This window comes from Homo sapiens, chromosome 15, assembly GCF_000001405.40.
Source record: "Homo sapiens chromosome 15, GRCh38.p14 Primary Assembly".
Lineage (NCBI taxonomy): Eukaryota > Metazoa > Chordata > Mammalia > Primates > Hominidae > Homo > Homo sapiens.
The window spans coordinates 70,477,391-70,501,484 of record NC_000015.10 but is presented as its reverse complement, the minus strand read 5'-3'; the positions used below and the strand labels follow the sequence as shown (position 1 = coordinate 70,501,484).

Genomic DNA, 24,094 nt, shown 5'->3' with positions numbered 1-24,094 from the left:
GGCTCCAGAGCCAGGTTTGGGTGACTCTGGGCTATTTATGTGTGGGAGCCTCATGCTCTTGAAGCACCAACAAGTGATGAGGCTCCTTCTCCTCCCTCTGCCCAATCCCCACCCTACCACCCTTAGACACTATATACCACCAGGCCTGAGGAGTCTGTGGGAGCGCGACCACTCTGACTGGCCAGTCCGGGTGAGGGGGTGGGTTCTAGGCATAGAGGGCAGGCATGTGGGTGCCTGGGCATCCTCTCAGTGGGAGACGATGGGTGCCTCTATTCGCCTGCTGCCCCCATGCCCTGGAACCCTCCTACCCACTCCACCACCCCCACAAGGAACTGTTTCTTACAAGTTTTTATAAAGGGCTGTTTGTCTGATCGTGGAAGCCACATCTACATGGGCAGATTCAGGGTTTTTTTTTCTTTTTTCTTTTTTCTTTTTTTTTTTTTTAACTTTCAATAGAGACAGTGTCTGGCTGTGTTGCCCAGGCTGGTCTCGAACTCCTAGGCTCAAGAGCCTCCCACCTCAGCCTCCCACAGTGCTGGGATTACAGGGGGTAAGCCACTGTGCCCGGGCAGATTCAGGCTTTCTGATGCACATTGTCAAGACATTTGGCCTGAGGAATGGTCGCAGGGCCAGTCAGAGGAGGCTGCTGGTGCCTCTGACGTCTGGGGACTCTCCAAGTCTTTATACGCATGTCCATGTCCTTTCCCTTGAAATGGGGATGGCGTCTGCCCATTTCCTGATAGAATTCCTCTGTACATTTGGCTTTTAATATCCTGGATATTCCTAAAGCCTAGAAGTGCATTTCGGTGTGAGCTCTACTGTAGGATAATTCAAGATATGCCCACCTCCCTGCCTGGCATCAGTGAAGACAAAGGACTCATCTTTTGCTTCGGTGGGCCTGGGGGTGGTGGGACCAGGGAATATCTGCTTTTTCCACCCACACACCCACCAGAGAGTAGCAGCGAATGTTTTCCTCCGGGGCTGGATTCATCAAGCCCAGGAACTTGGAGGTGAGAGAGAGAATTTCCTCATTTCATAAAAATTTAAAGTAATATGCGAAGGCAGCTGGGGCCTACCTAGTTATTTCCTGCCTCCTACCCAGAAATATTTAGTTATCTCCTTTCTTGGTGAGGGAGAGGGGTACCAGAAAAAATCAGAAGCAGCTGATGGAATGATGTGCTTTGTCTGGGGGGGTGTTGCCTTACAGGGAACTCACGTGAGGAACTAGCATTAGCCGAGCATGAGCTACATGCCAGACTCTTCATGTATTCTTTATCTTATTTAGTTTATATGAGTCTAAAATAAAGATTCTTGTCCAAATATCACAGGTGGGAAGCTGACATTCAGAGAGTTGAAGTTGTTTTCCTTCAGTTACAGAGCTGGGGGCTGTTGGAGCCGGGACACAGGCCTGGGTCCCGGTGGCACTAAGGCTTGGTCTGTGAGCACAGTGCTGTGTGGCTCCTGCAGGAGCAGCAGGCGCTGATGGCTTCTGGGTGACAGGGCCAGGTTTGGAACATGCTGGCTCCTGGCCACCTGGCTTGGGGATGTCAATTTCCTCCCTTGGATGTGGATGGGAACCTATTTGAGGGTGGGTGGAATGGAGCTTGTTTAGGGAGGAGCTGAAAAACGAGATTCCAGCCCACAAGAACCAGCTCCTTGAATTTGCACTTTGGGGGATGAAAGCATTAGGGCTCTGGAATCAGGCCTGGGGGCTTTGGATCGTGAGTGTTCGCTAACTTGTGGTGGGCCATGTAACTTACATTCTGTGCAGCTCAGTGTCCTCATTTGCAAAATGGAGCAAGTGGCAGCTCCTCCCTGTAAGGATCGGCGTGAGGGTCAGCCAGAAAATAATGTCTGCAAACAGCCTTAGCCCAGGGCCTGGCATGCAGGAGGCTCTCGTGACACACACGTCATTATCCCCTCTTTATGTTTTCCATCCAGAGGACACTCCCCTTAATTCTCAGCCTCTCGATTTGCTGTAATGATCATCTGTGCCCACTGCAGCTCTGTGGAAGGGAAGGGGCCTGTCTGCCATTGTTGGGAGTGGTTCAGGGTCTTCCTTGGCCACCATGAGGCCTCTGCTGTGCCCAGGAAGAGCCCACACCACTTTATCAGATGTGTGCATGTCAGTGATGGAAGGGGCCTCCACACCCCAGGGTGCTAATAATTCTGGGTGCTCCCTGGCTCAAAGTCTCCGGGGGCTTCAGCTTCCCCTACAAATACTGAAAGGAAGATACCCTTCTTCTGAGGCCTGTCTGAGGAAGAGACATCACTAAGAATTTGACCAGGTTGCAGAGGTGTCACTGAGCCCAGTGCAGGTGTATGGAGCTCACGACCTCTTGGGGGATCATGCCCTGTGCTCTCCTCCACTTAGGAAAGACATGTTTCAGCCTCGGAAGAAGTGATGCATTATCTAAGGGGTGTGCAGAGATAACCTCTGCCCTAACCAGAGCTTTGCAACAACAGGTTGCCCACATCATGGAGGACTGGACCAAAAACCAGTGGAAGACCCCACTGGGAGAGGACATTCAGGCAGATGAATGATCAGTGTTGGGAAAGTCCTCAAACAAGAGGTGGGACACAGTCATAGCAGGGTGGGGAAGAATTCCTAGGCCCTCTAGAATTGCTTTATCATCTATTTTTCACCCCAACTTTGAGTCAAAGATTATTTCCATCTTACAAGTGGGGAAATAGAGGCCCAGAAAGGGCACATTATGACCCGAAGTCACACAGCTAGGAGCCAAACTGTGGAGGAGAACCGAGATCTATTTGGTTTTGAGGCCTGCATTATTTCCCCTGCTCCATGGTGTCCTGGGCATGTGGCTTTCCTGGTTGTGCTTGCTAATGGAGTTGCCAGTTAGTGTTCTCTCTCCATAACGAGTGTGGAAAAGCCAAGTGACAATTCAACAAACCCCAGGCAGACAAAGGCAGCTACCACGTGGAGTTCACGGGGAAAAGACCACCATAGGGGCTGGCTTCCCTGAGGTCCCTTTTGGCCTTGGCTGTTCAGGATTCTCTGGGGCAGAATTTGGGGCTGCATTTCAGACCAGAGCATGTCGCTGCGCGTGTTCACCTGATCTGCCTGGAGCTCCGCCGGGCTTCCCTGTCAACTCCCCCTTGGGAGCTGGTGCCAGCACCACTGAGTCCCTCCTCTTCTCTGATTCCACCCCCACCCTGACTGCCCTCTGGAACCCAGATGGATGGGTGGCTCATATGTTTTCAAGCCAGGCTGTATTGGGCAGGTTAAAATGTTTTATTTATTTGGACAAACAAGCAACGTGGGCCAGACACCGTGCATTAGTGAATCAGAGCCCTCCAGCATCTCACCGTCCAGCGCAGGCATGAGGCAAATGACCAGGCCATTGCAGTGGGGCCTATGAATGGACAAGGAAGGGTGCATGGAACCTGGCCTGAGAAATCAGAGAACTTCCTGGGGGAAGGGACGTTTCAAGTGAGCCAGTTGGAGATAGGAGGCCCTAGTTCCCTGTGGGCAGCAAGGGGGCCAGGATGCCCAAAGCCCCCTTCCCTGTACAGTCAGACCTTCAGTGAATCACCGAACTGCCATGTCGCTGATGGCTTAGATGCCAGCTTGGGGATTTCTATGGCTCAGCAGCTGTTGATGGCTTCACGTCAGAAATGGCTTGTTAAAGCCAGGCAGGGCAGGGCTTCAGGCTGGCCCTGCAGAATTGGAATCTGGAGGGTTGGTGGCAAGTCAAGGACTCTGTTTTAAACCAGTGGATTGTCCACAGAGTGCACTTGGTGTAACGCTACTTTAGCGGGGAGGCATGCTCCCCTAGGACTCAGCCCGTGCCTCATACAATGGAAGCATTCAATAAATAAGCAGCAAGAGCAAGGAAGAAAATAAAGAAAAGGGAAGATGTATATTTTGCCTTCTTCTGCTGTGAGTTTGTAATCTTTCTAGGTAGATAAATTACCCACACAGAAAAGGTTCCTGCCTTCGCCCATCCTGAGATAACCCACAAACACTCCACCCCATTAGGCACCAGTAAACTTTCACTACCCAGAATAGACAGGTGGGGCTGAGGGGATTCCTGGGAGGAGGACTGGGTTGGCCTGTGAGGCCGGGGACAGGACAAGAAAGCTCTCTGCACTCAGTCAAATCCAGTTCGGCCAGCATTTATTGAGTGCCTACTGTATGCAGGGCTCTGGGCTAGCTGCGGAGGCTATGGGATAAAGTAAAGGCCCTTGCCATCTAGGAAACAACTATGTATAAAGGAAGATAGATATGTACATAATAAATTACAGCTCGGGCCAATAGAGTGAGAGAAGACAGCTGCCACGTCACAGCACAATGATTAAAATCTGGGCTCTGGAATTAGACAAGCCAGGTTCAGATCTTTGTCCCATCATGGCCCAGCTAGGGGACCTGGAGCAAGTTCTCAACACCATTTAGTGTCACATCCTTCTCTGTAAAATGGGCATCAACTGAGAAGGTAATACAGGGTTATAAGGATGATGCATGTAATGAACTTGGTGCTAGGCCGGGCCTGGGAACCACTCAGCAATGTTGACTCTGTTGATTGTAATGTACAGAAGAGAAAGTGATGAGCTCTGTCAAGGTAGGGGTTGAGGGCTGTGATGCCAGGACAGCGTTTTGAAGGATGAAATGAGTTCACCAGGCAGGTAAGGGTGGAAGGGCTTTGAAGGCAGCAGGAACAAAGGCCTCTCCAAAGCATGTCCACATTGCCTTTGAGACTATTACCAGAAAACAATAAACAGCTAGATGCGGCTGGAGCTTAAAGGGCTAGAGGTGAGAGGGACGGAGAGGAGGGGGAGATGAAGCTGTGGCGCTGTTGGGGAGGGTCTGAAGTGTCATACTATGGAGCTAACGGGTGGCTAATAAGCTGCAGTCGTGCCATCACCTTGATGCTGCAACCAAGGAGACATTGCTAATCAATGATAGAATGTGTCCTTGCTGAGCCAGGATGTGACTTTAGCATCATTCTCAGCAGCCACTACCAACTGATTGGCATTGACATGTAAGTTGAAGGCTGTTTGCCCCCTCTGGGTGAGAACTAGACGTTGGTCCTTCTTGAAACCAGACATACATCCTTGCACCCAGCTGGGAGTCCTATCAAACCCTTCCTGTCTTTGCCACACTGTGGTCTGGCTTCAGTTGGCTGACAAGACATAGTTTTTTGTTTTTCTTATGCTGGCCTTCTCTGGATCTGTCCTACCCATGGTCTGGGAGGCAGCCGGAGCAGCCTGCCATTTGAGGTTTGGCTGAGCCTGGGCTGTTCCACCCTGCCTTCCCCACAGCAAGGGCAGTGGCACACCCATTCCTGGCCAGCACTGGACTGCTTGGGTGGGCAGATCCCCCTACAGGAGCAGGTTTGGCGTGGCCCAGCCTGGTTTACTCTCCACCTGTAGAAGCTGCAGCTGGGGCCACCACATTAGGTCCAATGACCACTTTCCAATCTCTCCCCGAGAAGCTTCCAGTTTGGGCAGAGCCTATGGGCAGGGTGGGGACCATTCCAAGACGGGCCACTACAATAGCCCAGAGAAACACCACGTAGTACAAGCATGCTCCATTTTAAGCAAACCCTGTATTTGGAGCGGCATAAACTTGAAGTGAAGAGCACAGATTTGGTTTCCAGATGGCCTGGGCTCAAATCCTGGCTCTGCCACTTACCAGCTCTACTACTTATCTTTTTCTGTGTGCCAGTTTTCTCATCTGTAAAGTGGAAATAATAATGGTTATTCCTCTTGGTTTTGTTGCAAGAGTTAACCGAATGATTCTAAGGGAAGCATTGGCACTTAGTAAACACTAGATAAAGACTGTTCCAAGGAAGGGCAGAATGAGCACAGAAGGGCTTGTGAGTAGGAAGGAATGGGTCTGAGCATACCTTCGCGTGAAGGCAAAGCTATGTAGAGGGGCTGTGATGTAGTACACTGGGTTGCTGAAAGCTCAGAGCTTCCCTTCCAGCTATCAGGGCTGACAGGAGAGGCCTGGACCCAGCAACCCATTCAGCCCCGTCGTGATACCCTGGGGATTCTTGCTTCTCCCCCATTGAAACTGGTCTCCCTGCTCTCCAGAGGCAGAGAACTCCAGTGAACTCCCTGCAGGCGACTCCCTCCAACCTGGTGAGATGGGAAATTAATCTCCCTTGAAACCTATACTTAACATACAGGATTCTGTTCCCCAGTGAGACAATGAAATTAATCTGCCACTAATTTTCTGTTTGCCAACCCTGGGTTGCAGCATTTCTAATTCTGCTTTTCCAACTGTCTTGAGTCGGGTGAAACAAAGACTTAATCTCTTCTCTGGACTTGTTTATTCTGTCTTCAAAAAATGAATCACGCTGGCATTTTGCTCTACTGGTTTGGGGAAGGAGGGTGGAATGAGGTTTCCTTATCTCCCCCGGAGGCCATGGATTCCAGGCCTGTCTCTCTAGCCTCTCCCCAGCTTTCTGGGTGTGAGGGGATTAGGGGCCCCTATGATCTGTTTGCTTACTCTGAGTCTGAATGTATCAGTCACAGGGTGACTAACAGGCTGCCTCCTTGGGAACTGGGCGGGAAGGGGAGGCCCCTAAGTTTGAATGCCAATTTCTTGAGCGAGGCTAGGACCTGGGTCCCTTCCTCCCAGGGGGTGTTGTGGGGGAAGGTGGGGGAATCATGACCTGGCCCCACCTGCCTGCCTTTCTAACCTCTATTGCCAGCACCTAAGCCTCCAGCCACACCAACCGCCTGTCATTTCCTGAGCATGGTACCTTCCAAGCCATTCGCTCTGCTTGGCCTCCTTTTCCCCTGCACAGGGTAGGGCTTGACCTCTCTGTGCCTCAGTAAAACAGGAATAATAATAGTACCTGCCACAGGGGTGGAAGTAAGGACTAAATGAGAATCTCCCCTAAAGACTTAGAAGTGCGTGACATTAGCAAGTGCTTGATAAATGAGAACCAGGATTGTCATCACCTGACTCGCATGTCCCCACCTCTGGGACACCTTCCCAATCTCCCAGCAGAAAGATCCTTTCCTCTGGAGGCCCCAAGGCTCCCCCTGAGCCTCTGTGGAATCCTTATTCTGCTGCTTACAGTGGAGCCAGGGAGCATAACCTCTCTGCATTTCATTTTCCTCCCGCTGCGGAATAGAAATAATGATAGTGATGACCTCATCCCGGGTTGTCAGGAGGATTAAATGAGATAATGCTCATTAAGGGCTTAACACAGGGCACGACCTCAAGCAGTAAATCAATGTTCTGATGTGTGGTTATGATGGTTAATAATTAATGAGCATGCATTGTGAAGTCTGTCTTCCATCAGCAGAAACTCCCTGAAGGTAGAGGAGGTCCTCAGTCTTTCGTGGGACTCTTGGTGCTCACCTGTTGGGTGGGAACAAGGGCCTGATTCCTGAGCATGGTGGGTGAGGCTAGGCTGGCTGGTGGAGGGTGCCCACCTGTCCTGAGCGCAGGCCACTCTCACTGTTCAGCATAGTGTCCTTGGAGATACCTCCTGGGCCCTGCCTGAGCGAGCTTGGGCCCCAGCCCGGGCCACCACTGGCTTTGCTGTCTTCACTGTTGCCGATGAGCTGCACCGTGCACCTAGTAATGGTCACGACCACATCCCTCTCACCGTTCCCATCACCCTGAGCAGTGTCACTATCCTATCAGCACCAAGCCCCTGTCCTAGAGTGTCACCGCTGAGGGAGACCTTGGAAACCATCTGCTCCCATATCCCAGACTTATGCTTGAAAACTAAAGATGAGAGAGGTGCTCCAACTGGCCTAACACCACACAGCAAGTTGGAGGCAGTGCCAGGATTGGATCCAAAGCCTCTTGACTCCCACTGCAGGGCTCTTCCCAACACTTTGCTGCCTGTCCTTGCTTCACCAGAACCCCTGTCATCGTGCTGCAGAAGAAGGACACTCATATTTATTGAGCATCTACTATGTGCCAGATACTGTGTAGGCTTGTGTATTAGCTCAGTTACTCCTCCCAACACATCTGGAAGGGGTGATGTTATGCTCCCCATTTTACAGATGAAGAAACTGAAATCACTTGATCAGGATCACAGTAAGGCAATGAGGTAGGTGGAGTTGAAACCCAGATCTATCTAACTCTATATCCAGTGCTCTTTCCATTCTCCTTGAAGCTTCCTTTGGAAAGACTGGCACAGCTGGGCCCCAGCCCTGGGTGAATGGGTGGGAGCTGCCAGCCCAGCATCTTCATTCCTTTCTCTGCTGTGGACAGACGTGGAGGACCTGCGGACAACCAAATTACAGACAGTGACAGGACTGATGAACAGCCAGGCCTGCTTTTCCTGCTGGGGGTTTCCACTGCCTGGGTGACCCAGCCTGTGGCCCGCCCACCTGGACAGACAGAGTCCTGCCCTGCCCCGCCTGTGGGTGGGTGGGGTGGTAGTGGGCTAGGGGTGGGCTGGGGCCAGTGGAGCAGCAGAGACTAGGGCCGTGCAGCTGCCACGAGCCTCAGGCCGGTGGTGCCAGGAAAGGGGCAGGAAGTGGTTTGTGGGGAGTGGTGGCAGGGCTTGGGCTGTGCGATGTGGCTCTGCCTGAGGTTTCTGCTCTGGAAACCTGACTCATGTGGACAAAGACCAGGCTGCCCCACTTCCCCAGGGGGCAGTTAGAGCAATTACAGGCCCTGGCACAGTGAGGCCAGGGGGTTGTGCTCTCAGTGGGAGGCTGAATCAGGACCCGGGAACCCAAGGCTGCCCTAGGGGTTAGTGATTTCACCACTGGCCGGGTGGGTGGAGGGTGTATGGGAGGACGCGTCCACGCAGGCAGGCAGTGGGCTGAGCAGCAGGGAGGAAGCCGGTGGCCATGGGGAGGCCTGTGCTTGGCCTGTGGGGAGGGTCTCGTGGAGTCTGGAGTTTGGGGCCCGAGCCCAGCTTGGTTCTGACTTGGGGTTCTTGAGCCCCAGCTTGTGAACTTGGGCAAGGACCTTTCTTTCTCTGAGCCTCACTTTCTTTCTTTATCTCTAAAATGAGGTTTCCACCAGCTCTAAGAATTAGATGACTCTGCCCTGCCCCCACCCAATCAAAGGAGCCTACAAACCACAAGCGAGCAAAATAACAACACAGAAAACCACAGCTGAGAAGTCATAACTGCTGGAGACAGGCTAGGCCCTGCTCTGAGCCTCTGCATGTTTCCCATAGCCTTCCAGCAGCCCCGGTATGCCCCTCTCACAGAATAGGAAACAGACCAGAGTATTCCTGGGGATCCACGATGGGAGCCCCGGCCTACGTATTACAGATCGGTGACCTCTTCCAGGTGTGAACCGAGGATGCTGGCAGGCCCCACCTCCTCCCAGGGGCCCCCTCCCCTTACCTGGGTGCACTGGGGGCCTTGTCACCTCCTTCCCGTCTTGCCTCTGCAGCCATTAGAGTCACACCAAATGAGTATGGAATTTCTTCTCCTGATTGTATCGGAAAAAAGGAACTCTGGACCCTACCCTACGGCAGATATTCTTTTTTTTTTTCCCTAAGTTGTCCCTTACCTTACCAGAACCCCTATGTTCCCTACTGCCCTCCTCCGAACCCCTGTCTCCGGTCATACACCAGGAGGACATGACGGAATCAAAGGAGACTTTATAGACCAAACCAGGAGGCTTTGGAGAGTTCTAGGGAGTGTCTTCAGAGAGCAAGTGGCTGGGAGGGGCCAAGTGCCCAACTCTGGAACCCTGGCTGCTCCTCTACCACTCCCATGGGGGTCTGTGTGTTCCGCTTGCGGTTTTATGCGAAGAAAGTGTTGTCCCACAAAACACATTTCAATATCCCTGATTGAGTTCAATGTTCCCATTTATGGAATGGTGAAACTTAGGCCCAGGGAAGGAAATGACCTACCCAAGACCCTATAGCTGCCCAGTGACACAGCTGGGACTGGAACTCAGGGGTCCTGATGGCTGGCTCTGTGCCTTCCTGAGCTCTGCCCAGGCAGATGGTGGGGCTCAGAGTCAGACCGGATGCTGCCTGCCTTGAGCAGGAACTGCGGCTCCTCTTGGCTGTCACAACGTCCAAGAGAGACCTTTTGGATTGTGTTAAGCAGGGCAAGACTACTAAGTCGGGTGAAGCCAGCTCGTGTTTTTCTCTTGGTGAAAGTGGAGCAGTTCTGGCTGGAAACAGCAGATCTTCTAGACGAGATAATGCTAGCAAAGCATTTAGCAAGAGTTTCTGCATGAAGTAGGTGCTTAGAACTGTGAACTGAGGCAGAGAAACAGCTGTGGTTGCCTACACAGAATCACCTTCTCACTGTGTGACTCATGGAGCAGTATCTGAGAGGGAGGACTTGGGTTGAGGACAGGAGGGAAGGCCAGAATTTCCTTCAGACGCTGGTTCCACAGTGGCCATTCTCCCCTCCCCTCCGCACCTTTCACAACCCAGGGCTGAATGAATACGTGGGAACATTGGTTTGTGGGTGCAAAGATTGCTGAATCCAGACCAGTGGTCCTGGGCCCTATCTTGATGTGTCACCAGGTCTTCCCTCTGGGCCTCACTTTCCTCCTCTGTGACACGGACGCTTTGGACCAGATGGTTGTTCTCAACCCTGGTTGCCCGGAGAATCACGGGGGCGACTTTTAAACAATTCTGAGGCCCAAGCCTCACCTTAGGTCAAGGAACCTCTGTGGGTGCTTCTGAGCCTCTGTGGTTTTGATTCTGATGCCCAGTGAAGGGCAAGAAGCACTGAACTGGATGGCTCTGGGCTCCCTGATGGTTGGCACAGGACAGCGACATAGGACCTCACTAGATTGCTGTTAGCTGGGCTGTGCTTCTCTCGGCATGTGTGTGGGTGAGCGACAGAGCTGATGGAGCATCCTGCTCAGCTGGAAGCTGTCTCCCAGCATGGCGGACGTTTCTCTCCCATCAGCTCATAGGTGAGGGGCAGCGGCGGGTCCCTGGGTGCTGTAGGAAGGAGGGCACACCAGGGATTGGTCTCCAGGGCTGAGACCGCAGAAACCTTGTTCTTCTCCCTGCTGGAGAGTCTGGCCCCCACTGATGACAGCATGGCCCCCAGGGAACTCCCAGCTCTGAGGCTGACTCCTCCAGAAGGGGTCAGGCCACCCTCAGCCTTGGGACTCCTGAACCCTGGGTCCGTATCCTGATGGGCAGCTTGGGCTGGGGATGCAGCAGAAGCCCATGTGGGGCCAGCATCCAAAGCCAGACCCCCAGGATCCAGTTCAGGTTCTGCAACCTCTGGGCCTCAGTGATCTCATCTGTAAAATGGGGCAATAATCCACGCCCAATGTGGTGTTAGGGATTCTGATAGAGAGATCTTCAGAGAGAGGGTCAGTGAGCCCAAGCCTCAGGGACGGTGACAGGAGGAGGCATAGAGGCTCAGGGAGGAGGGGTCAGATGACATGGAGCTGGGAAAGCTGAAATTGAGGAGTCTTTATGTAGAGAGCAGAGCATCCCTTACACATCTATCTGTGGTTTTCACATGTACATGGGTGGATATTTTCACGAGTGGATCCCTTTAAAAAAGATAATTTTGCAAGGGGCCCCAGTTTATTAGGTATGGATAAGTGGAACTTGGATGGTTGGAGTGGGACCTGTCCCTCAGCTCCCCACCCCTACAGTGGCCTAACTGGGGAACAAATCTGAAACCACTGGTCTAGAGCAGGAGGACGCGCATTCTCCATCTCCTTCTGAGATTCGGCCCCGAGGAGATGGGTATAAAGTGCAGCAGAAACAGGGGTTGGATAGCAGGGAGCACTTCCCAGCAGTGGGGCTGGTAAGTGCTGAGCTTCTGGGTGCGCTGGTATCTTAGTCCTCCCCAGGCAGGAAGGGGTGAGCCATAGCCCCTCGAGGGCCTCAGCCTCCTGCTTCTGGGGATGGCAGGCAGGACCCCTTTCCTACTCTGGCACCGGGTTCTGGGGAGAAGTGGAGACAGCTTCTCCCAGGAAAGTGGGACCTGGGCCATATCGCTGGATCCTCTGAGGGGCATGGAGGCCTTGAGCTGGGGAAAGAAAGAACAAAGTGACTCTTTCTCCTTGCCTTTGTTAACTCAGAGTGCAATGGGGTGAGGAGGACACAGGGGAGAAGAAAGAGAGGGGAAGTCAGAACTGGGGCTGGGAACCCAGCGGGTGTTTGAGGGGCAGAACTGGGAAGGACCAAGGCCAGAGATTCAAAGGGAGCTGCAGGGGAAGGCGGCGTTTCTGCCAGCTCCACCTTCGGGATGGATCCAGAATCCACTCCTTCCCCCAACCTCCGCCAGGCAACCATGCACAAACCGCCATCCCATAGGCACCCTGGCATCCCTCCCTAACCAGCTGAACCCCCCACGTCCCCACTTCCCCCCTCAGCTTATTCCTCACATGTTTGTCAGAATAATCCTCAAGAAAACACTCATCCCACTCAAGGCCTCCGTGACTCCCACCTTCCCATGTAGGTCTCTTGCTTCATCTCCCACCTCTCTCCCCGCGCGGCAGGGCTTCAGGCTCTTCCTGCACCCCTCTGGCCTGGCTGCCCCTCTCTCCCATTCCCCAGTGGCATCTGGTCTAGGGTTGGCTGATAAAATAGAGGATCCTAGTTAAACTTGAACTTCAAGGTAAACCACACTTAAGTATAAGTATATCCCAAGTGGTGTAGGTGTTACTCACCTGCAATTCACATGTGGCTGAGCATCCTGTATGGTCGTTTGCTAACCTGGCAGCCCTAGTCTAGTCCATCCCCTCTGGACCTGAAATCTCTCAGGTCAAGGATCTTGTGCTTCTGGGCTATTGATTGAGAGAAGGGGGAAAGCTATCTTCCATGTATTTTATTTTAAATAAGTATATCTATTTTAAGTAAATTTATTTTTTTTGGAAAAATCCGCTTGTTTTAAGTGGGGTGTCCTGGGAACCATGTTCCCTCATCTCTTTCTTGCCCCTTAGTGACCAGAGGGTGGGGATGTTAGGAAAATTGGAAGGGATGGTATTTTAAGTCAGAAAATTGTAGGTTTGAGCGTAGCATCTGTCACTGATTCTGTGACGTCTCAGAGCATTGCTTTCACTGCTCTGGCCTCAGTTTGTTTCTCTCTAGATGGGGGCTAGGACTTCATCTGCCTCCCAGGTGGCTGTGGGATTCATGATGCATGAGTTATGCTCATCATGGACATATGTGCTAGCCATGTGAGGGGTTAGGTTAATAAGGCTCCATTGCCTGTGGTTCCAGAGTCACCTGGGCTGAAGGGTAGGTAGATGTGGCCTAATCCATAAGCTCCGTGCTGGTCAGAAGTTTGCTGGGCAAGTGAGTGAGTGCCAGATCTCTTAATTTCTTGGGCCTGCCTGGTTGGCCATGCAGTTCAAGGTTCTGGTCACCAGGGGTCAGGCTTGCACACGGATGGCTAAGTTCTGTCTTTTATGGTGCTCCAGGGAGCCTCCAGACTGTGAGCCAAAGGGACGGTGAGGATGGGGGGTGGCACATTTTAAAAAATGTGGATCTTGGAGCTGTAGGTCTGTGACCTGCAGATCTGGGAGGTCAGACGTTATTCTCTCTCATATTTACATCTTGCTTGGTACCTTCTGGAGAGATCCTCATCTCTTTGGCCCTTCACCAGGAGACTCCATGAAGGAATTGGGTTAGGTGGCTGGGGTTTGGAGAGAATGCTGGGCAGGGGTTTTGAAGCGCATTTGAGTCTTAGCTCCAAGTCTGCCCCTTACTAGTGTCCTTGTTGGCTCTATTACCTCCTGGGCCTAAGTTTCTTCTTCAGTGGAATAGGGTAAAAATACCTCCTCTGCAGAGATGCGTCAAGATCAGTGAGTAGAGGTGGGGCAGGGATAACTTCTCGAGGCTAGCCCAGCCCTGTCTAGAATAGCTTATGATGAAAATGGAGAAATAAGATAGAAACACAGGGAAAGAGCAAGTGTTGTCACGGGGCATCATATAATCCCTTGCTAAGTTGCAGAAGTGAGCACTAGGGTTCGGAAGAGAGAGAGGGCAGTCCAGAGAGGGGAAATTGCTGGCTTGAGCTCACATAGCCAGAGGGATAAGCGCAGGGTCCACTGGGCAGGTGGCTGAGCTGGGCATTGGAAATGAACAGTAGATCAGGCACCCAAGGCAGGTGTGCCCAGCTGATCCAGGCCACAGCATGTAGGCTGCTGGGCCCCTGCAATTTCAGATTCAGTTCTGTGTGTCTCCTGGGCACCTGCTCTGGCGGTGGGAGTACATGCTCTCCAGGCATGTGTGTGTGCTTCCCATGTAGTGCAGTGAGCAGCAATGTGGCTTCAATCTTTGGTCCAGGCACGGACCCAGCACCCAGAGAAAGCGATTTTCCTGCTTGTGGTTTCCTGGCCTCCTCCAAGAACCTCACACGTCCATGTTGCTCACAGAGAAAGATGGATCACTCTGGGGGTTCCTGGAAGAGTTGCTGTCTTTGAACAGTCCCTCTCTTGCCAAGACCCCTGCCTTCCTCCCGGCCCCCAGCCTACTGCCTCTCCGCAGGAGGACAGCATGTCCTGGGCCTCTGCTCTCTGGCCTCAGTCATGGTGTGGCTGGGTTGCTCTGGGGACGCTGAGGGTTCTTGATCGCGGCCTGTCTCAGGGTAGGTCCCCATGGATTGCCCTCCCACCCCTGGCCAGGTTGCTGTGGTTTCCCCATCAGTAGAAATGACTCCTCACCCACAATTGCATCAGTCCCTCCACAGACGCAGTGAATCATGTTGCAAGATGTGGTTATGGACTGCGCCCTGTGCTCTGGTTAGGGGCTGGTTGGGCCGGGCCAGGGGTGAGGGAAGTGTGGGGGGTTGACCATGTTTTGACTTGAACTTGGGAGAGGAAAGAAAAACCCAGGAGAGGGCCTCCAGGGGTGGGGTGGGGTAGGTGTGAGTTGACACTGAACTCATCACCCATGGGACTGAAGCAAGTATCCAGTAACCTTAACCGAGACCACACTGGGGAACCTTCTGGCTTACTCACCCTCTGGCCCTACCGCTACCACCAAGAGAAAAAGAAGTGAAGAGAACGAGCTGGTTCATCCTCTAGTGCATTGCAGCGGCGTGGGGGAAACCAGGGAGATGGGTTGGTTTGCTTTCTTCCTGTTTCTCTATTTGAACTCCCTGGCTTGCTTCCCTTCAGCTGACACATGGTGGCCATGGGCTGAGAATGTCCAACCTCAAGAAGAATTTCTTCCCTCTCTCCACTTCACAGGCCAGGCTCATAGCTGCCCCTGGGTAGGAACTATCTGCAGGGAGGTAGACTCCAGCTGCTTGGAGTTGTATGACCCTTCCCAGAGGCAGATCTACCCATTTTTCAGTGGAGAAGATGAGGCCCAAAGGGAAGTTGCCGGACACTTTGCTTCCGCCTCTCTCTCCCATGCCCTCCTGTGCAGCTGAGCTCATGGCATCAGAATCTCAGGATCTTTCAACACTTTCCAGCTGGGCAAGGTGGGAGTGAGTTGGCTGTGTCTTCTTGTTAATTGTCCATGCCTTTATTTACTTATTTATTTTTAATTTTTAAATTGACACAATAATTGTACATATTCATGGGGTACAGTGTGATGTTTTTATACATGTATACATTCTGTAATGATCAAGTCAGGGTATTTGGTACATCTATCACCGCGTACATTATCATTTCTTAGTGGTGAGAACATTCACAATCCTCTCTTCTAGCTACTCTAAAATATACAATATAATATTGTAACCATAGTCACCCTCCTGTGTAATAGAACAGCAGAACTTATTCCTGCTACCTGATTGTAGCTTTGTACCTATTGACCAACCTCTCACCATGCCTCCTCGCCCTCTCCTCTCCAGTCTCTAGTAACCACCATTCTACTCTCTACTTCTACGAGATCAACTTTTTAGATTCTGCATATGAATGAGATTGTGTGGTATGTATCTTTCTGGGCCTGACTTATTTCACTTAACTTAATGTCCTCCAGGTTCATCCACATTGCTTCAAATGACAGGATTCCATTTTTTTTTATGGCTAAATGGAATTCCATTGTGTGTGTGTGTGTGTGTGTGTGTGTGTGTATGTGTGTGTGTGTGTATAGATAGATAGATAAAGATATCATGGTATCTTTATCTAATTATCCATTGTGGGACACTTGGGTTGTACCTCTTCTCTACAGGAGGCAAGGCTGTGCAATGGTTCAGAGATAGCCCAGCAAATGCTCTGTAATGAGGCTTGGAGTTTCAACCTCACTGTCTTGAGCAGAAGAGAAATGGGCAATATGACATATGGAGGTGCCACTGAAACAAAACACCCCAAAATCTTGAGTCAACACAGTGGGGATAGCACTCTGGAGTCCACACTGGAACGGCAGTGGGTTTGTCTGAATGACAAATACACTTGTGTAAGTCACTGAAATGTGGAGGGCTGTTTGTTACTGCAGCATAGTCTACCTACCCTGACTTTGCAATGCTGAGCTAAGGAGATTGGCCTTGATTCTGAAGGTCATGGGAAGAGATTCAAGTCTTGGGAAAGGATGGCAGGGCCTAGATCCAACACTTGGGTTAAGAAGGTGGTTTTTCTTCCTTTTAGATTGTGAGCTTCCTAGGTGCAGCAATGTATCTGGGGTTGTTTTTCACCACTGAGTATACCTGGGGCCTAGAACAGTGCGTGATACATGATAGGTGCTTGTTCAGAATTTGTCTTCTCTCCTTCTGCCTTTAGTTTCCTCCTTCTCCAATTTATTCTTCCTCTCTTCATCTTTCATTATTTAATCCTTCCTTCATGCCTTAATTTCCTCCACAAATATTTAGGAAGTGCCTCCCATGCCCCGGGCACTGTGTTTTACATATGTTATCTCTCTTTTATGCCAGTCTTGACAGAGAAGTCCTTACCCTCACTTGACAGAGGAGGAGTGTGGGCCCTGTAGTCTCTGCCTGCTCCCTGGCATTTTCATCATTTCTTTACTCTCTTCATCTTTATCTGGGACTCACTGGGAGGACTCCCTAGCAGTGCTAGGGAGAGGTAGAGGGATGCATCTAAACATGAAAAGGCATGGTTCTGCCCTTAGGAGACCTCAGGTTGTTGGGGGTCACTGTCACAGCAGTGCACAGCTGCCATCCAGCGTGGCACCCCACCAGAAATACACACAGGGTGCAATAAGCACGTGGAGAACCCTTGAGCTGACACTTACGCAGGGTCTCCAGGAATCTGAGGTTGGGCTCAGGGTGGGGAGTGGAATGGGATGGAGAGAGCAACATGAGCAAGGGCAAAGAGGGGTAAGAGAACCTGGTTTAATTAGGGAATGACAGCTAATTCAATGTGACTGGAAGATAAAATAAGTGAGGAAGACCTCTGGGAGTTAAGGCGGGGAGAGCAGATGGGACCTAAATTACAACATTTATAGACATTTGGAAGGCTAAAGATGGCAAAAACATTTTATCTTAAAAGCCAACTGTGTTGGATTAGTGGTGACTGCTTGAAGCACTGTGTTAAGAAAGATTCTGAGGCTGCATCTGGTCTTAGGAAAAAGTGCTTTGATCCATGGGTGATATCTTCCATGGGACAGGGAGTTTGGAGCGACAACCTGCATGTCATGCATTTTCCAGTTTTGCTTTGCTTTGAGAGCTGCAGAGCCATGGGAAGAATTTAAGCAGGAAAATGATGGGGCCTGGACTACTGATTAGAGAGATCATTCATTCCTTGACCAACATAAAGGAACTAAGTGGAAGAGACATGATTGGAACCCAGGTCAGCCCAGTAACAAAGCCTGCATTCTGAAAACTCCCCTGCCTTCTGAGAGTTTTTTCCCTGGCCAGGAAAAGCGTATTTCAGTGTGGAAGCTCCCAGTTAGGCTTGTCAATGATCTTTCTTCTTGCTGCTTCTTCCTTCCTCTTCTTATCAGCCGCTCCTCCCTGGTGCACCTCCTCCTTTTGTTATATCCCTAGGCCATCTGCTCAAGCAGGGATTCCCACCCAGAGGGCTGTGGCTCACTCTTGTGCCACAGACCCTTCTCAGCTGTGAGAAGTCAAACCTCAATTGATGGGTAAAGCTTATTTACTTGTTTGTTTTTGTGCCACTATGAGAGAGATGTCAGCAGGAAGAACACTGAGCTGGATGTGGGCTACTATAGAAGAAAATCACGGCAGTCCCAAAGCATGAGGCAAGCAGGCTCTGCTCATCAGTCACTGAGGCTCGGGCTGAGAGAGCAGCCATCACCTTGACCCTCACCAGTCTCCACACCAGAAGGAAAACAGAGCCTGGAGGGTCTCGCACCTGCAATTAAATGCTGTGTCTGCAGGTGACCTCTGTGAGTTCTGCTCTGCTCACAACTCATGGGCCAGAACTAGTCACATGGCACCACCAGCTGGAGGGGACTAGAAGGTGTGAGTTCACCATGTACCTGGAACATGGGGAGCCAGAGGATCTGGTGAGCAGCTCTGTCAGTCACCATCATATACCTTGTGCCTGGCAGAGTAGGGGAGGAGCAAATTTTTGATGAAGATGGTGTCAGCCTGAGCATCCTTCCAGAACAGCTCTTGCTCGGGCCCCAGTGACCTGCATGTTACTCCATCTGGTAGACACTTTTCAGTCCTCATTTTCCTTAACCTTGCTTCTCACACTGCACTGTCCTTCTTAATACATGTTTCTTGGTTCAAGCACACATCGTTTAACTGACTTCCTTCCTACCTCTTGCGTTACTACTGCTTCCCTGGCTCCTTTGCAACTTTTCCCCTTTTCTACCTGGCCTCGCATTTTGGAGATTCTCAGGGCGTGGACCTCTTTCCTCAGCAGATCTCATCCACTGCCTTGCCTTGAACGATCCCCTTCACCTAGAAGACTTGACTTGCTTTGGAGCTCCACGTTCACGTGTTTTGCTGTCTACTTGACATCTTCTCAAGAATACCTCAACATTATCTCCAATTTATTATGCTTAAAACCAAAGTCATGACCTTTTTCCCTCCACCCCTGGTCCCTTCCAGAGTTCTGCATCTCACTGAATAGCAGCACCATCCATCTGGTCATAGGATCCAGAAACCCAAGAGTCTCGCTTGACCCTTTCTTCTCTGTGCCACACCCTTCCATTTTAAGTCCTTTAGCAACCCCTATTAATTTAGTCTCCAATCCATCCACCCTTCTCCAGCTCCATCGCCATCTCCATCACTGGTCCACGTGGCCACTGTGTCCCACCTGATTGCTGTGAGGCACCCCATGCCCTCCCTCCTTGTTCAGTTCCACCCATTTGTTCTTTATGCTGCAGCCAAGGAAATAACGCAAACTTGATCACGCAGCCTTCCTTCCCATGATGCTTTAAAGGCTGCCAGGCTGGGCGCGGTGGCTCACTCCTGTAATCCTAGCACTTTGGGAGGCTGAGGCGGGCGGATCAACTGAGGTCAGGAGTTCGAGACCAGCTTGGCTAACATGGCAAAACCCTGTCTCTACTAAAAATACAAAAATTAGCTGGGCATGGTGGCAGGCACCTGTAATCCTAGCTACTCGGGAGGCTGGGGGGGAGAATCGGTTGAACCTGGGAGGCAGAGATTGCAGTGAGCTGAGATTGCGCCATTGCACTCCAGACTGGGTGACAAGAGTGCAACTCTGTCTCAAAAAAAAAAAAAAAAAAAAGGCTGGGCGCGGTGGCTCACACTTGTAATCCCAGCACTTTGGGAGGCTGAGGCCGGCAAATCACCTGAGGCCAGGAGTTCGAGACCAGCCTGGCTAACACGGTGAAACCCTGTCTCTACTAAAGATATAAAAATTAGCTGGGCATGGTGGCGGGTGCCTGTAATCCCAGCTACTCGGGAGGCTGAGGCAGAAGAATCGCTTGAACCCGGGAGGCAGAGGTTGCAGTGAGTCGAGATTGCACTATTGCACTCCAGCCTGGGCAACGAGCAAAACTCTGTTAAAAAAAAAAAAATGCCTGCCACTGCTCTTGACAAAGAGAAAACTTGTGCAAGATGTACAAGGCATGCGTGGTCAGGCCTCTGCTTGCTTCTTTGTCTTACATTCATTGCAGTGCCTGGCACATAGTAGGTGCCTGGTAAATACTTTTTGAGTGAATGAACATATGGTATAAGAGAAATGGCCAGTTGGTCAGATTATTTTGACTATTAAAAAGTAGTGGGGCCGGGCACAGTGGCTCACACCTGTAATCCCAGCACTTTGGGAGGCTGACGCAGGCAGATCACCTGAGGCCAGGAGTTCGAGACCAGCCTGGCCAACATGGCGAAACCCTGTCTCTACTAAAAATACAAAAATTAGCTGGACATGGCGGCATGCGCCTGTAGTCCCAGCTACTTGGGAGGCTGAGGCAGGAGAATCGCTTGAACCAGGGAGGCTGAGGTTGCAGTGAGTTGAGGTTGCACCACTGCATTCCAGCCTGGTGACAGAGCAAGACTCCATCTCAAAAAAAAGTAGCGGACCACCGGGAGTGGTGGCTTATGCCTATAATCCCAGCACTTTGGGAGGCTGAAGCAGGCAGATTGCTTGAAGTCAGGAGTTTGAGACCAGCCTGGCCAACATGGTGAAACCCCGTCTCTACTAAGAATACAAAAACGTGCTGGGCATGGTGGTGCATGCCTGTAATCCTAGCTTCCTGGGAGGCTGAGGCACAAGAATTGCTTGAACCTAGGTGGTGGAGTTTGCAGTGAGCTGAGATAGCACCACTGCACTCCAGCCTGGGGGACACAGCAAGACTTTGTCTCCAAAAAAAAAAAAAAAAGTAACAAAGCAGCAGGGGTGGCTTTCCTGGATACTGAGGCTGGTTCAGGGCCCCTTGGGAGCTGACATGTGACTGTTGCTGTGTTCTGAGCAGCAATGCAGGCTCATCAAAGCAGGATGACCCTTTGATAAGCCTCTCTCTGGGATTGGAACCCAGGCAGGCTGAGCTGAGAACCAATCTCTTCATCTCTGTGCCGTTCTGCCCACTCACCCACTCACTGCATTTGTGCTCCACATGTGGCACAGAGGTGGCATCTACATAGAGGCTATTTTTATTACTCTTAGACAGCCTGGCGATGGGACACAGCAGAAACAGGGAGAAAGGCCACTCACTGGGGCAGGCAGACAGACTCTTTTCGTAGTCCCCTTCCTTTCATCCTGGGAGCTCCCTGGGCTGGGGGCAGGTGGGGTGCCCAGAGTTGGCTCAGGGTGGCCTCATTTCTGGGGATCAGGGTGAGTCAGTTGTCTCCCTGTGGTCTGAGGGCAACATCAGGAACTGCGATAGTCATCTCTTTCTTTGTGGCTTTGAGGTCTGGGGGTGGGGGGTGAGGGTTCCTGAGACACTTGGGGCCCATAGGGGAAAGTCTTCAGCCTGCTGGGCCTAGGAGATGCAGGGGGATTCTGCAGGACCCATAACAGTGGCTGGGGAGCCCTGGCCTTTGGGCCTCTCTGCAGCGTTGCCCACTCCCCACTGGCCGCGTGCTGAGCAAAGGAGTGAAGAATCCAAGCGAACAGGGGTCTTAGTTCATCTTTTCAACTCGAGAGGAAGCTGCTCTCATGATCTCTGTTTTACAGACGAGGAAACTGAGACTCAGAGAAATTAAGGGATTGGCCCAAGTTCTCATGGCTATTAAATGACACAGCCAGTACTCAATGCGAGACCTGCCCGATCCCCACAGCTGGCCCTCTTTCCCACCTGACCTTGCCCTCTCTACCTCCTCTCTTAGGGCCTAGAGGAAGAGGAAGTGAGAGGTAGAGTAGAAGCAAGCCCCTGTCAGGGTCCTGGCAGGGAACGGATTCACTCGGATGGCTCAAATGAGGAGAGTGAATGCAGGGACTTCTTACCGAGGGGTGGGCAGGGTGGAAGGGGTGAAGGAGAGACGCTGCAGCCTCCAGAGCCCGGCGACGGCGGGAAGCTGCCTCCAGAGCCCGGCGACGGCGGGAAGCTGCCTCCAGAGCCCGGCGACGGCGGGAAGCTGCCTCCAGAGCCCGGCGACGGCGGGAAGCTGCCTCCAGAGCCCGGCGACGGCGGGAAGCTGCCTCCAGAGCCCGGCGACGGCGGGAAGCTGCCTCCAGAGCCCGGCGACGGCGGGAAGCTGCCTCCAGAGCCCGGCGACGGTGGGAAGCTGCTACCAGCCCTGGCCTGTTATGGAAACCTGGTGACAGTGGGACCCCTGGAGGAGGAGGCATGGGCACAGAGGATGCAGGGATGCCAGAGACACCCCCTAACTTCTCTCCTACCTCCTCATCTCCTGCTGGCGACTCCCTATGGCTGAACCCCAACTGAAGCCAGCAGGCAAAGGAGCTGGGAAGCTGCACTCCAGAGAGCTCAGTCTGCAGGGGCTGGAGAATGGGAGGGAGGGGCAGGCAGAGACTGGCCACACAGAGACCCGAGGCGGGTGGGTGGTTACGCCATCCACCATTGTGGAAACAATAGAGGTGTGGCTAGACCCATGGGATGGGAGAGAATCAGTGAGGACCGTGTCTCTTTTGTTCCTGCCTGTCCTAAACAGGACGGGACCATCAGCGGGCCTGCCATTCTTCCCCAAGTCCCCAAGGCTTCCAGGCAAGATGAATCCTTCCTCACCCAGGAGAGCGCCCCAGCCTGAAGGCCAGTCTTCCTGCTCAAGGGCTGGCTGCTTCTTTCCCTCGTCTCGCTTCCTCCCTCTCTCTCTCTCTCTGTCTGTTTCTCTTTTCTCTGTTTCTGCCGCTCTTTCTCGTTTCCTTCTGTTTCTCTGTGTGTGTGTGTCTCTGTTTTTCTCTCTGTTTCTGTCTCTGTCTTCCCCTCTCCAGAACAGTCAGCTGAGGCAGGCCCTCTGTGCAGGGGTGACAGCTGTGGTTTCCCTCCTGGTTTCTGTCTGCCCTCCTCTGTCCCGTTCTCCAGGCCCCTCTCCCTGAGCCTGGGTGTCTGTGGAGGACCAGCTGACTGAGCAGGCCTGGAGGCCATCTTGAGTGCCACCTCCTTGCCCCAAGACACCACCCAGGGCTCAGCCAGAAGCATCCTCGGGCCAGATAAAATAAAAACCACCAGGAAGTGAAACCACCTGCTCAGCACATGGGCGGGTGCCTGGCTGAGGAGCCGGTGGGAAGGCCACCAGGCCAGGCAGGGCGAGTGGGAGGAGGGTGGCCTGGGGAGAACCAGCCTCCTCTTTCCTGGAGGCGATAAGCCCTGGCTGCTCCACTGTGGGGGGCATTGAACATTTATGAATTAGTGGCGTTGTGCTGTTTTCTGAGCAATAAGTTTTCATGATGTGTGTTTGGTGAGCAAGGCGGCCGCTCACTGGTGCATTAATCTGGCTCGCCGTCCCTCCCGCCACGCTCTTGTAAATCATCTTGTCCTAGCCATCGGGAGGCGGAGAGGGCAGGGCAGGCGCCCGGAGGGAGGGAGAGAGGCCTGCCTTGAGCAGGTGGCTGGCAGGGGCTGGGGCGCTGGGGTGGGAGGGATGCTGAGGGAGACTTAAGGGGCAGTGAGTGGGAAGGGCCGGGTACTCCTGTCTGGAGCCACAGGAAAGAGTGGGAAAAGCCTGAGGCAGGGCCAGAGTAATCAAATCCCAGTCGCTGCACCTCATCAAGCTGATGCCCTCAGTGGTATTTTGGCCGGGGAGCCTGAACAGGGTTCAGCAGCCCTCCTGGGACTGGTCGATGTTCTTTGGGGTCTCAGGGGCTCGCCCTCCAGTCTCCAGGCCCTGCCCTGCCATGTGGGCTCTTGGGAGTGGGGTGCTGGGCGGGGAGGCTCGTTTCCATGTCCCAGTTTTCTGCAGGGCTCATGTGCTCTGAGGGGCACAGCCCTACTCTGGGCACCAGATGGCTGATAGGGACAGAGCCTTGTGTCCTTCTTCTCTTCTCCCTCCTCCTCCTCCATCTCCTCCTCCTCCATCTCCTCCTCCTCCATCTCTTCCTCCTCCTCCATGATCCGGGAAGCAATAGAACAGGCTCAGCTTCACGTGCTCATTTCCACTTAGCAGGAAGAGAGTTCCTTAGCCCCTCTGAGCCTCCTGCAAAATGGGGATTAGAAATTGCAGCAAGATTGGGATGCTCTGAGGATGGTGTTAGGTCAAAAGCTCCAGGGACCCTGGATGCTGCCCTTCCCCAGGAGTTCCCTGACGGCTCCTCATAGCAATGGTACAGAACAGCCAAAGTGACACGTTAGAGAGGTAGAAGCTTGGCACCCAGCAGTGAACAGCTCTAGGAGCCCCTTCCCCCTAACCCACATGGGGACAAAATCTCAGTCTGGCTCTGGCCTCTAAGGGAGTGGGAGCAGCAAAGGGAGGACAAGACAGAGGGCAGGAGAAGGCATTTGCCCCAAGCCTA

General features: G+C 52.4%; 5 annotated features.

Annotated features, from left to right (window-relative positions):
• Positions 8,139–8,683: an enhancer, noted in NCBI's record as "H3K4me1 hESC enhancer chr15:70785141-70785685 (GRCh37/hg19 assembly coordinates)". NCBI's record gives its function as "activates a minimal SCP1, AML or CMV promoter by ChIP-STARR-seq in naive H9 embryonic stem cells {active_cell/tissue: H9 hESC(naive)}" and the evidence as "EXISTENCE:reporter gene assay evidence [ECO:0000049][PMID:30033119]".
• Positions 9,095–9,144: an enhancer, noted in NCBI's record as "active region_9692". NCBI's record gives its function as "activates an Ori minimal core promoter by ATAC-STARR-seq in GM12878 lymphoblastoid cells {active_cell/tissue: GM12878}" and the evidence as "EXISTENCE:reporter gene assay evidence [ECO:0000049][PMID:35858748]".
• Positions 14,689–14,748: an enhancer, noted in NCBI's record as "active region_9691". NCBI's record gives its function as "activates an Ori minimal core promoter by ATAC-STARR-seq in GM12878 lymphoblastoid cells {active_cell/tissue: GM12878}" and the evidence as "EXISTENCE:reporter gene assay evidence [ECO:0000049][PMID:35858748]".
• Positions 20,851–20,910: an enhancer, noted in NCBI's record as "active region_9690". NCBI's record gives its function as "activates an Ori minimal core promoter by ATAC-STARR-seq in GM12878 lymphoblastoid cells {active_cell/tissue: GM12878}" and the evidence as "EXISTENCE:reporter gene assay evidence [ECO:0000049][PMID:35858748]".
• Positions 22,534–22,763: an enhancer, noted in NCBI's record as "active region_9689". NCBI's record gives its function as "activates an Ori minimal core promoter by ATAC-STARR-seq in GM12878 lymphoblastoid cells {active_cell/tissue: GM12878}" and the evidence as "EXISTENCE:reporter gene assay evidence [ECO:0000049][PMID:35858748]".